The 14,335-nt window shown below is 36.6% G+C and overlaps 1 protein-coding gene across 2 annotated transcripts in view; it reads right to left on the reverse strand.

Annotated features, from left to right (window-relative positions):
• Positions 1–14,335, reverse strand: part of CNTN3 (contactin 3) — a 352,092-nt gene that overhangs the window by 258,221 nt on the left and 79,536 nt on the right. For both annotated transcript variants that reach the window (NM_020872.3, NM_001393376.1), the window contains exon 2: positions 270–404. In NM_020872.3, the coding sequence (NP_065923.1) occupies positions 270–324 (55 nt within the window). In that variant the 5' untranslated portion in view covers positions 325–404. The remainder of the gene's footprint in view (positions 1–269; positions 405–14,335) is intronic.

The following is a 14,335-nucleotide window of genomic DNA, read 5'->3' on the forward strand; positions in this document are numbered from 1 at the left end:
TTCATAATACCAAAGCATAATATTACAGTAGATCTGTAATATCAGATGTCATTATATTTGCTATGGAAATAAAAATGGCTTACAAAAATAAGGGAAGGAATAAGAACCCAATTATCAGATTAGAGAATTTAAATTTTCCTTTTGGGAGGAAAAACATTTGTTTTTCTTTGCTACTGGTGGAGTTTTATTTCAACATCTAAAAATTATGTAAGCATATGACTCGAGTATACTTCTAACCTCAACTTAGAAAATATAGGATTTTTTTTTACCTCCTAAGCAGCCAATGAATGAAAGCAGGATCAACTGTTTCCATGGAAACATCATCTTTAATTGCCAAATGCAAGAGTAACTCTTGTCCAGTCTCTGATGAATAGAATGCTTTCTCTTCAGGTAAATCCTTTAATCTGTAAAATATATGTACAAAGAAGTTCGTTAAAAAAAAAAAAAAAAGCTGCTTTAAAAAAGAGATTTTCTTCTTTTCGTAAAAACTGTTTATCATTTGGAGACACTGAAAACCCTCAGATAAAACAAATCTGTTTTGATACAAAATAGAGGACGCTTGAAATGTAGATACTTAAAAAACATGTAACTCATAGGTAGATGGAAACGATCTTATAGAATTTGAAATGTTTACCAATATTAAAATATTAAATTTTAATATATTAATTATTAAAAATTTTGCTAGATAATTTCAAGAAAGAAAACATTAACCTAAAATTCTAACTTTTTCCATTTTCTCTAACGATAGCATTCTGGCAAAACTAACAGAGTCAAATAAGCAGATATCTTGAAGCACTAATTTTTGCAGTTTCTGAATTCCTAATAAAGCATGCAAATTATAGATAGCATTATCAATGTCCATCTTAGACCTATTTTTTTAGAAAACTGCAGAAAGCTCCCAATTATGTATGCTGTGTAAAACAGATTTTAAAATGCTAATGGTAGAAATGTTCAGTCTGAGAACCTTGCAAATGAAACCATTTTCTTTTTTGCTTTAATTTTCATAAACTTGAATATGTTGGTTGAGAGGAAATAAGTATGTGAAAGTCTTGTGTCATTTTGAGTGGCCACTTAAAACTAGTTAAGCTTCATGGTTAATGATCAAGTATGCGCGATACACAGACCTAAATCTCTGGACTCCTACAATTCAGTTGGTACCACACGGGGAATTAATGATTTTAAAGTTTGCTACTTTAGTAAGGAACGGGTACAACTCTCTGATTCAGCAGCTGCTACTGATTGAGCTGTTTTAGTTGTCACTGACCCAAAGAGAGAACTTGGCCTCCTGTAGACAGTGGTTCCCAACAATGGGTTCCTGACATGTGGCGTATGCAATCAGATATTATGTACGTCCCAAATAATAAGAACTCAAATAATAAAAATATGACAACTTGAAAAATATGTACTTAAAATAATATGTTAAGTCATCATTCCTATAATAATATTCTTAGGTGCCTGCAATCTAATATATATTCTTGGGTAGGTTGTAAGAGATGGAATTGCGGCTAGAATGCCTAGGCATCACTCCCTCTAGGTCCACTGGAATCTGAAACAAATGAAAATACAATTGAGAACTGCTGTTCTAAGAATTGCAGGTTAACAACTTACAGTAGTAACATTGACCTTTAACCTTCACTCAATATCCCCACTGCTGCAAACTGCATGTCTCAGTTTGGGTTCCACAACACAAATAAGACAAAATGAATTCAAGTGCAAGTAATTTACTTGGGAAGTGAAGGACAAAAACAGACAGGATGGAGAAGTAAGATAGGAAAAGGAAGGCAGCCTAGAAAGGGTGAAATATAAAGCCTTCTAACACCATGGGTGACTGGAAGTCCAGTTCCTATAGAACCAATGCCTAAGAGTCATCCAAGAGTCATCCCTGAGTTATTCTTGCAAAGGGGCAAGGCAGCACCAGTTCCCATAATAGTAGTAATTGCCCAGTACTTGTAACCTCCTACTAGGGCAGTAAATAACTCCAGAGGTGGAAAAAGGAAAAAAAAAAGGAAAGAAACATATATGCTAGCTATTAAAAGTGGTGTGTGCACTGGAGTGATGAAGGCAAGAGGATGAGTAGGGCACACGCAGTGTCTGCTACACTGTGCATAGAAAACAGGCTTTTTGAAGTTATTTTTAACAGCACCAGGTCCCACGTGATTGATGGCCAAAATTACTGAATAATTTAAATATACGAGGGAGAGACACACATTCCACCTCAATCAATCATTATACTGCTCAAGCCTTTCCAGTGGCTGATTTTCCCTGCTTGGACCAAAGGGTCTCAGGTATCTTGCCTTCCTTTCTTCCTTCCTTCCTTCTGCTCAATCAATGACATATCCTATGTCCACAATTATTTTCAATTACTAATTTAAATGATAACTGAAATCATTCTAGATTAGATTTAATTTATAACTGGCAGCCATAGTTTTTCTTCTAATCATGCATTTGAGGAAACCGTGGTCCAAAAATCAGGAGAAAGATGAAACACACACAAACATGCATACACATATAGATAGATAGATAAGAGTGGAAAACCAATAATGTTTTTTAAATTATCTAATAAAATACAATGCTAACTAGTCATAAAAGGCATGTGAAACATGAGATACATTAATCTGATACATATATATGTCTAAGACTCATGAGAAGCTAGGAAATGATAGTAACATGCACTAAAGTCTAGGGACAATGGGTAAGACTAGAACACTGCAAAGGCTTGAGGAGTACATTGATTGAACTGGTACTTCCTTCTTCACAGAAGTTATAGCTATCCAGTATATACACGAAATCTAACTTAGAAGGAATTCGGCAATAACAGAATAACAGACTTAAAAAGAATAGGTAGTTGGGAATTTCAGGAAAGGAAGGGGAAACTCTAGCAAACAATTGTGCAGTAACCTTGCCATTATCATCCTCATCTTTAATATCAAAAACTATTCAAATAAATATATGAAGCTCTGCCCTATGTCATTTGGAAAAAAATACATGGTCTGCATCCTAATATTGTAATGGGAAAAGAGAATATTATAAACTCTTATAAATAAGGAGTAAATTACTAGATTGATTGATAAATCTCTGAAGGTAGAACCACAGTTAACCCATCACTGGTTGCTCCAATGTTCCAAATACCCTTTCACAGGAGGCTTTCAAGCAATGTTTCTTGCTGAGCTTTAAGAACAATGAATGAGTCACTCAGGAGATTAAATCTTTGCACCGGACATCAAGTGAGTGAAAAGCATTTCTACTGGAACCAAAGGATAAGTCACAGCATGGGAACTGGCCACCATGTGAAAATTGTTTCAGGAAAGTGTATGAGAAGGCATAAAGAAGGTGATTGTTTTCAAAAAACGTTATCTTCCCAACAATCCATCCCCAAGATAACATGTACATTGGTTACATTTAAAACATATAAATGTGTTCCAAGAAGCTCTAAATTATTTTTGAAAACTCACTCATTCAGTAAAAATTTACTGAGTACCTCTTCGGTGCTGGGATTACAATTCTAGAGGGAGGTGGAGGTGGTGATGAGATTGTCAGGAGACTGATAATCCCCGTACTCATAGAGTTTATCAACTATTGCGAGTGACACCTTGTTTAAATGAGTATGGGGTATTTATAAATTGCCCACATGAAAGGTACAGTAGAGGGTAGACGTTTCTATGAAAGCCTAAATGAGAACAGTCCTCATCAGGAAGGTTAGGGAAAACTTCTCTGAGGAATTGGGGTACAGAGGAAGAAAAGAAGAGATGAAATAATGAGGTGTGTGTATGTGCTGCAGAGTGAGGGAAGGAAATTTTCCTAGTGTAGACAAGTACTTGGTATGGATTTATTAGGTGGCAGATAGGCTTGTGAGTAGCTAATGTCTGGACACCACTCCCCCATCAACTACTACTTATCTCCATGCTGTCCCAGGACCCCACCACACCTCTCTGGAGCCAACCAAAAGGCTCAGCAGAGGGCCTCCAGAATTCTGCTCTAGCCCATGTCACTTTGGATTGATCAGTATGCATGCCCTACTGCTGGTTAAATATTTTAACAATCACCTCTGGGCATAGGAAATAGAATATGCAAAGGCCCTGTGGCTTAGGTGCTCATGGTATGTTTTTGCTCTCGGGTTGCACAAACAGAAAGAAGACTAAAGAGATGAAATACACGTGGCAAAGCTCAGCGTGGTATGAAATGAGACTGCAGATGTATGGGGGTCAATCTTGTATGTCTGGCTAAGGGTATTAGTCGCAGAATAATACCCTTGAAAGGTTAACTGCAAGTTTAATCAGGGAGGTGAAATAATCATATTTGAAATAAACATTCAAATTAGAAATATTATAATCTGTGTCTGGCTTAACAAGATGAAAAGAGAACACATTTTGCAACATACCAATGTTACTCTCACCCACAAATTCGTAGAAATTAGAAACTAGAAAACAATAGACAAAGAATTTGATTTAAAAGAAAAGATATGTTAATATCATATAATATTCATTTATACGTACACACATGCATACACTGTAAAAGGTTTGAAGATAAAAAGAGATGTCATTCAGGAAGTTTTTTTTAAATTATGTTGCTTATTTTTAATCAATGTTAAAGTAGGACATTGGCTTTATAAATAATGAAGGTAATTAATACTATCACAATCTGACTTCTCAGCATTGCCATGTATCATCACGGAGAGAGGTGACATATTAAAGCTCTCCCCACTTCTGAAATCACAAAGCTAAAATAAATACAAAGGAAGCTACTGAAGCAAGACAAATACAAATCAAAATATCATCTGCTACAATAAGAATATTCTACTATTCACAGGAATGTTTTAAGCCAAAGAAAAAATAGATAACCTTTAGAATTTTCCGTGCTAATAGACATTTGCATTTAAGGGCTAAAGCTTAATATATTCACAACACGTTCTCATGGCAATCTTTAAATAGCCCCCAAATTTAATGCATATTGACAACTGTACTATCTATTCTTAATGTCAGCTGAGCTAAAAAATGCTAGACCTTGGACTCAAAACCAAAAATGCTCTAAATAGTTGTGCCTGGTTGCTCTAAAAGAAGGAAGAAACCATTTGTGGCTAGTCATATACTTTACAAAACTGCTACTAAGACTGCAGATATCATGAAATATTGATATGTATTTATTATTTTTAATGTATACAGACAACCTTGAATATCATCTTGGCAAATGCTGAGAGTTACATTTCTTTATGTGGAGAAAGTTTAGGTGTGAGAATGATTTGGCAACATTTCTTTCAGATAACATGTACCTAACAAACATTTTCTTTCTCAAAGAGAAAAACCCTACAGCAATTTTAACTGTAAGGATTGCTTAATACACCACCCTCTCTTGCATCTACAAAAAGTCATCTCCAATTTCGATACTTCAGAAATGAATTATATTTATGAATATATATTATTCCTAATCTTCACCAAAAAAAAACTTGAGCAGCTTACCGACATTTATTATAGTAAAATATTCAATTATTAGTGGATAAAAGTTTGATACCTTTGGGTGTTGTACTGTGAATCTTCTAGAACTTACATTAACTCACTCTCATGGTATGCAACCACACTAGCATGGTAGTCAACTAGTTAATGAGTATACTGGCTTGTTGAGACTGTGTATCCTGTCAGATCAGAAATCATGCATCACATAACTGATTTGTTCATTCATAGTCACTCACTCATTCACTCATCCATAATCTTCACATCTTCCAGAGATGTAGTTCATCCATTCTGCATGCTGACCCTGCCTCCCTCCTGCCGAAAACTGGCCAGATAGGTAATCAAAGTTACATGAACTCTGGGCTCCAAATCCAAAATTCTTAAACAGCTCACCCATCTTTCCTGCACTTCACAAGTGTTCAGCAGCAAAGAAGGAAGGATATCATGTGCCCAGTTTGATGTTACCTTCCATACCCACAGTTCTGTGTTGACCACAGAACAATGGACAAACAGGGTGAATGCCGGCTGGAAGTCATCCCATGCTCCCATGAACACCTACAGCACTTTATATTCTCTCCCTTGACCCTCAACACTTCTAACACCTTCTATTGTATTATTTAGATTATGGCTTCTCTCTCCTACTAGATAATAATCTTCAAAAAATAGTGATTTGTAACCTTTCATAGGTTAAGGTCCCTTTTTAGAATCAGCCAAAACTATGAATGCATCTATCTCTGCAGTCCAAATGCACATAGACAGACATAAGCTAACTTGTGTGTACTCTATGCTTTATTACACTGAAAAATAATTTCTTTTACATAGGAATCATATGTATATATGTGTATACCTATATAGATATGTGTGTTCATGTATGTATATTCAAATATTTCTTGCTTATTTTTCATGCATAAATTAATGAAAATTTTATGAAAATGGAAATAAATCTAAACTATACAAATTGAAGAAAAGGAAAATCCTGTTCAAAGAAACAAATATTCCTGAGGTTACTGTTGAAAAATTTGACAAATAAGTTTAAATAATGAGATTGTTTTTTATATGGTGAGGTATGTCATCTCTGACATTCTGTTAATTTTTGCTTCTGGTCTTCTAGCAATCACTGGACAAAAGTAGTAGCAAACAGAATCAGAGTTCTTGTTGTATGTATATTGCAGTAGATGGGGCGGCAATACAAAAATATTGCCAGAACATTCTGAGATGCTATGTGTTGGTTTCAGAGCTTCTTTCAATTTGTCCTCAACTCAAAGAGATCTTCTCTGGCAAGACCAACATCACTGATGCTATGCCAGAAAAAAATTACAAAGCTGTTTTTCAATTGATTCCACTAGTTTCAACTAAGTGCAAGCTAAAGGGACAAGACACAGTTACCTAATCATGCCAACCGACATGCTTCAAAATGTTAGATAACATGTCAACACTTTTTAAGTATACTTTACAAAGGGTTTGCTTCAATGCTCTTGCTTTGCTTTAAACCTCAAATTAACTTGGCCAATTCCACGTCACACTGCTTTACAAGCCTCTCCGCAATTATGGATGACTATTTGTACTTGACATGCAATAATGTCGCTTGTAGCATGTTTCAAGACAAGCTTTTTGTTTAAGAGCAAGTCTGAGTTTCAACAGTGTTGCAGGATTTTGAAAGCAAGTCTTCATCCCTGAAGGAGAACAGCACTGTCTAATGCTTTTCCAAGGTAGCCAAATCTAAGGTGCTTTTTTGGAACATTTTTTAAGTGTCATTATTTTCCTAAAAATAACCTTTACACATAAAAGGAACTTAGACTTTAGGGTCTTACTACATATAATAATGAAAGGAAAACTAAATGATAAGCAAATTCCATGATCTCTTCTTTTCCAAGACATCTTCCAAGTTAAACATGAAACAAAATGAACAAAGACAAATTTAAATAATTATAAAGGGTATGTAGATTTTCCTTCCCTTTGATTCAATGGAAAATTATTCCAGACCTCCTTGTACGATAATGAAGAATGTACCTTTCCTAAGTCTACATAACATTCCTTGCCACCATATATTTACTTAGGATTTAAAAATAGCTTTATAATATAATATAATATGAATGTTTTTCTGCAAAGACAATTTTGCAATACCAGGAAGGAAACTAAATAGTAATGTAATAATACTAACTTTTATGGAGTGCCCATTATGTGCCAGGCACATTTACCAACTGGAAAATGTAGTGGCAACTCTAAGAATCAATTTTGTTTTAGCTTGACATGTATGTAGGTGCCATAAATTCACTTTTAGAATTAACCCACTATAATCCTCACAACCACTCATGGGGATCTTTCTGTTATCACCCCCCATTTTTCAGATAAAGAAATAGAGACACAGGTGGGTGAACAAATCTGTCAAAGAGAAATAAAGATAGAAACTGTGTACTTACAACCTATTTTCCCCACACAATAGATACCAATGGAATGCTTAAGTAATCAGATCATTAGAGAGCCATGAAGTATAACCTGATATTTTATGTATTTTCAAAGGTCTGTATTAATATAACCGGCAATTGAAAGTTTAATTTCAGTTACTTCCTCCGTAAAGGGAAAGGACTTGACTATTAACATAAAAATTCCACTGCTTGATTTCAAGCACATGCACTGCAGTAATGCACCATCCCTATAATAGGCACGAATGTAGAAGAATGCAGCAACTCTCTTTGGGATGAAATGAAAATACTTCAAAGACACAGTAAACCACAAACATAAGGTGCAAAACACTGTGTGAAAAAGAAATATGGGTATTTTTGTCTCCATATTTGCTGTTTATAGTATATATATATACAGCACATATATTTATAACTATACAAAATAGTTCTTGAATGATATATGAGACCTGTTAAAAGCAGCTAACTCTGGGGAGGAAAACTGTGGGGTCAGGAAGAGAATAGAAAGATAAAAATTTTCAATATACAGTCTCTCAAAAATTTTAAATATTCTTCAGTGTACATATATCTATTATCCAAAGCATTAATAAACTTTTCCAATGGATTAACAATAGAAAAGTAATGTATCTTCCACGTTAAAATATTTCAAACAGTACAGAGCTCAACACGTGGCACTGAAATTTTGTTTGCATAGTCACTACCTCAGCTGCCTGGGTCACGTGTTTAGAAACTTTACCAACTGGAAAATGTAGTGGCAACTCTAAGAATCAATTTTGTTTTAGCTTGACATGTATGTAGGTGCCATAAATTCACTTTTAGAATTAAAATGTTTTTATATAGTTATCAAAATAATTTACTTATTATTTGAGTGGTTCCTCAGTCTCATTCTGAAGGTTTTCTGAAACTACTGAGAGGTTACCACTAAGGACAATGTCCCAGTAATCTGCCACAAAAATTTGTAAAATCATTTATTACACTAGTGTTCACAGTGGTATAAATTATGAAATGAAACATTTTTAAAAGAAAAAAAAACAATTTATTCCTAAAATGATAAAATGTGAAAAATCTGTAAACAATATTTTTTTGGGAGTTGAATAGAAAAAGGTAAATGAAATGAAAAGTCCTAAAGAGAACTTTTTGGCTTAAATAGAAAGAGTTTCAACATTGAGTTCTAACTGTGCACACTAGCCCAGACCATTCTGTTCCTCACCTCATAATCATGGAAGGAGAGTGATCTTGGGGAAAAACTCAAATTCACTGAGTAGAAAAAGGTAAATGAAATCAAAAGTGCTAACGAGAACTTTTTGGCTGAAATAGAGTTTCAACACTGAGTTCTAACTGTGCACACTAGCCCAGACCATTCTGTTCCTCACCTCATAATCATGGAAGGAGAGTGATCTTGGGGAAAAACTCAAATTCACTGCATGCCTGCAGCATGTCAGGTATAAGCACAGAGAAAGAATATTTTAAAATAAATTCATGTCTTCAAGGCACTGACACTCTCAAGTAGCACACTGACCATAAATATAATTATACTACATTTTAATAAGAGATTCTAGACTGGAAGACAGAGGTCTGTAACAGGATGCTCATGCGAAGTTTCCTGGACCACCAATACTCAGCAGGTATTACATCCCAAAGGGAGGTGCCAGAAAGAAGTGCAAACATTTAAAGGAGATCCTGCAAAACCATTTGCCTGGTTCTCACAGCTCACTCACATCAGAGTTGTCCAGAGACTGAGTAGAGGATTTGAGAAAGGGGTGACTTTGGAAAGAACTCTTCCTCACAGAGAGGAAGGCAGGTACTCCTTTTTAAGTTGCACTTTAAGGTTACACATCAAGGAGACCACAGAGAGCTGCCTTTGGAGGGATGCAGTGGTCTGGGATGATACTAAATGAGACCACTAAATGAGAATGAGAGCACGCTGGAGCCAAATAGTGGGTTGCAACTGGTGAAGGAAAGGGATTCTCAGAGATGTTAGGGGCACAGAATACATGACGTTTCCTGTGCGCCAGACACACAGGGGTGAGTGCCTGTGGAATGTGGTTATTATATATCCTGGGATGGAGAACCCCCTTCTGGGGAAAAGAGACCTCACAGAGGAAAGCTAGGGTATCTCTGGACTTGTGGGGGCTGAGAAAGAAGGAAGTGGCTAGCTGGGGTGGGGAAGAGGGAGAGTGCAGCACTACATTCAGGGAACTGAGGGGGAAATATCCCCAGTGTTTTGGAATCTCAAGTGAACCCATGGAAGAACCACTGGAAGAAAACGCCAGTTCTGCACTTCTAGCAAGTCCAAAGTGACATGACGCTAAGCCACTGCAACAGGATCCATCAAGTTGAACTTGCTGGTCTCCTTTCTTCTCTTCCGGGCAAAATACTTAGCAGAATTGGAATTACCGAGTTAGGAGGAAGCAGTGTAGGTGAGCTAGGTGAGAAAAGAAGCCAAAACATTATTTCTTTAACTGTAGACCTTCGCTCCACACCAGATTAGCACCAGGGAGGGAGATTAGTTTTCCCTTTAAATCAAGTTTTACCTTTTAACTATTACATAAGACAGGACGTTTTAATTTTTTTGCTTGAAATTGTATCCCTTACCTAAGCATTATCAGAAGTGGAGTGGGTGGGGCTACCTGAGTTTTCATCTGCAGCAGGAAAGGAGCTAAGAGAAGAACTCCCATAACAGGCAGGAAAGACTAGAAAGCTGACTTAGGGTTACATCTCATGAGTGGTGCTTCTTCCATGTACAGTTATAGACAGGAAGTACAACCAACAATTAGAAAACGGGGGATATCACAGCACCATCCTAGAACAGGTAGCATCTGAGGTAATTCTTAGAGAAAAAGGTCGGCTTACCTAGGAGATAAGGAAAGAGATAAACACAGGGACACAGAACAGTGGAAAATCTAGACCAGATAGGTGATTCATGAGAGTGAGAGAAATGACTCGGGGAAAGCCCACAAAGCACTGGGCCGAGGGAGAAGGTTAGAGAAACCCAACGGTTAAGGGTGTGAGCAGAGGAAGATGAACTCCCTTCTGAAGAAGACAAAAGGAACATTCTGAGAGTCCCAGTATGACTCACATGTGGACTGTGTTAGGAAAGCTAAGGGTGCAGAGTGTTCAGTTCTGCAAGAGAGTGACAACATTCAAACAGATAGATGTCCTGGGGCTGGGAGTGGGATGGGGCATAACTGCAAATGGGCATGAAGGTTCCTTCTAGTATGATGGAAACATTCCAAAACAGGATGTTGTGATGGTCGACCATCAAAGTTACTAAGGCACTGAATTGTACACTAATAAGAGTGAATTTAATGGCATGTAAACTTTACCTCAATAAATGTTTTAAGTCATAAAGAAACAGAAAAAACAGGAGAAGGAGGGATAAAGAGAGGGAGAGAGGAAAGAGGAAGGAAGGAGAGAAAATTAATTTGCTAAATAAATGCTTTTCGTGATGTTATCAAGCCCAGATTCAGTGGAGTCTTTGGGAAGGATCAGCCACATAGTGGTGGGTAGATGTGTGAATAATGGGTGAAGAACCAGAGAAACAGAAAGAATCAGCTATTCTTTCAATAAGTGAGAATGAGAGAGATGGGATCATGGCTAGAAATGGGTAGAGGGTAAAGAGACAGCCATGATTAATGGTTTTCAGTTGGAAAATTCCTGAGCATACAGTAGACCCCCTTATCTGTGGGGCATACATTCCAAGACCCCCTGGTGGATGCTTGAAACTGCAGATAGTACCAAACCTTATGTATACTTTATTCTTTCCTATATATACATACCTATGATAAAGTTTAATTTAGAAATAAGACAGAGATGAACAACAATAATCAAATAGAACAATTATAGAAATCCACTGTAATAAAAATAAAACAAGGGTGATTTGAACACAACACTGCAATATGGCAACAGTTGACTTGATCATTGAGATGACTCCTAAGTGACTCACAGGTGGGGAGCGTCCACAGCGTGGGTCCCCTGGATAAAGAAAGGATTCAATTCCTCAGCCAGGAAATAGCAGAATGGTGTGAGATTTCATCACACTGCTCGGAATGGAATGCAATCTAAAACTTATGAATTGTTCATTTCTGGAATTTTCCATTTAATATTTTTGGACTACAGCTGACGTTGGGTAACTGAAACCACAGAAAATGATACCTTAGATAAGGGGGGACTACTGTATTCATAAAGTGAGAAGGAAAATTCAAAATGCAAGAAGAAAAAGGTCTGATTTTTCTAGAGGGAAGAGTCTTCTCAGGATTAACTTGCATGATAATGATTCCACCTTAGCCAAAATCACATAAGCAAAGTCAAAAGTATGCTGAAAAGGGAATAGAAGTGATGAACCCTATCCCATGGCCAAAACAGAAAAGCTGGCTCTGGGATGGAGGCATTTTCTGGAGAACCATCAGGCTCGTCTTGGAGGCTCCTTATCAGTGTCTCCAAGAGGTCACAGAAATGATGATGCCTGGCCAGTGCCAGATGCTCAGCATGTCCTATGTGCCTGTGGTTGTATTTTCATATTCATAGGTAAATTAATTTAGAAACCATAGTTTGATTTTATAGAGTCACTCCATTTTGAGGAGCTCTGGAAACCAACTGCGTACTACCACCACACTTCCTTCTCTTAACTCTGAAACTACTCAGGGAGCTCTCTTAGGCTAAACATACAAGCAAACATGCTCAAAGCACTCAGACACATTTAGGAGCACTAATAACTAAACATAATACTAATGCAGCACTTCAGAGGATCACTTCACTCCCCAAGATATCCAAACCACAATTCTGGCACTATGGGTGGTAGGTAGATAATAATGGCAAACACTCAGATTGAACATGTGCCAGGCAATACTCTAACTGCTTTTATAAATATGCACACATGTTATGTCATTTACTACCACCACCCCCATGTTACAGATGAAATAACTGAGGTAGAAAAACATTAACCAACATTCCCAATTTCATACAGATGCCTGAATCTAGTATTTCCTAGTCAATCCCTGGGTATTATTATTTGGCTTAATCTGTTTCAGGTTTACCCTAAGGCTTGGGAAGAAAGTGATCCTCTGAAGCTTTGTATTTTTGTTCAAAGCCTAGAGAGGCATAAATGCAAAAATGAGGTAATATTTTTGAGCTCTAGTGCAGAGATTCTCCATTGAGAGTGACCTGGGCTCCCAGCAGACACTCAACAATATCTGAGGATGTTTTGGGTAGCCACTTGCTGGGGAGGGATACAGATGAGCTACTGGCACCTAGGGGTTAGGGTTTAGTGATACCACTAAATACTCTGCCATACCACAGGACAGCCACCCACTGCAAACAATTATCCAGCCCAAATGACAATCATGTCAAGGTGAGAATCCCAACTTCAGAGCAGCTTAGCATCATCAGAAGACTGGAGAATCAGCTACCATCCAGCCTGGCTACTTTCTGTTCGGAACTTTACCAAAGAAAGGACACACTTCATCCTTCACATGTTCTGCTCTCATACAACCAGGAGTCTTCTGGGAAAACAGGATCTAAGAGCTTGGTGCACTTCTTAAAACTGACCTTTTTACCATGTGAAATTCCAAACAAATTAAAAGTAAACAGAATAGCATGAGCCCCTTATGCCCATCACCCAACTTAAAAAAATCAATATTAATATTTTGCTATTCTTGTTTTGTCTACAGCGCCACTCACCCTCTCATATCCCCACTTTATTATTTTTTTTCATTATTTGCACACAGGTTTTATGTAATTTGCTTACATCAAAATGTAAAAATCTTATCTGTACCATTTTTTAAACATGGAATCTTAAAGAACTATTTTTATTGTAAAATACAGCAAAGATCTTTCCATTTTATGTTAAGCTTCTAAGTCAGTGTTTCTCAAACTGTAGGTTGTGTTTAAGATGCTGTATGTAGAGTTTTTGTTTGTCTTAAACAAATGAAGTAGAATAGAACAGAAACTATTCAGATATACTGAATTTAATGAGTTAGCACTGCTTTGTAAAATGATGCTATAGAAGTGCAATGTACTGTTAAGTATTGAGCCCTAAAATAACTTGTGTTTCTTACTAAGAGAACATTTTTAAATGTATAAGAGGCAGAATGACTTACAGTTAAGTATGATATATACATATGTAGTCTTGGGCGAGTTATTAGATTGGTGCAAAAGTAATTGCGGTTTTTGCCATTGACCATAATGGCAAAAACAACAGTTACTTTTGCACCAACCTAAATACTTAAACCTCTTTAGACTTTAAATTTTACAACAGTAAAATGGGAATGGTATGCACATAAATTGGTTATAAGAATTAAGACTGTGATTACATGCTGAGCTGGTATTTGAGTTGTGATGGTTACTGCTATGATTTCAAAAAAATTAAATATAATTGACACCTTGTCTGGAGATAAAGTCTTAAATAAAGCATGGACTCAAACCTAGGTCTCTAACTCATTTTGAAGAGACAAACGCTGCTTACATCTTTTT

The sequence above is a fragment of the Homo sapiens genome, chromosome 3, assembly GCF_000001405.40.
Source record: "Homo sapiens chromosome 3, GRCh38.p14 Primary Assembly".
Lineage (NCBI taxonomy): Eukaryota > Metazoa > Chordata > Mammalia > Primates > Hominidae > Homo > Homo sapiens.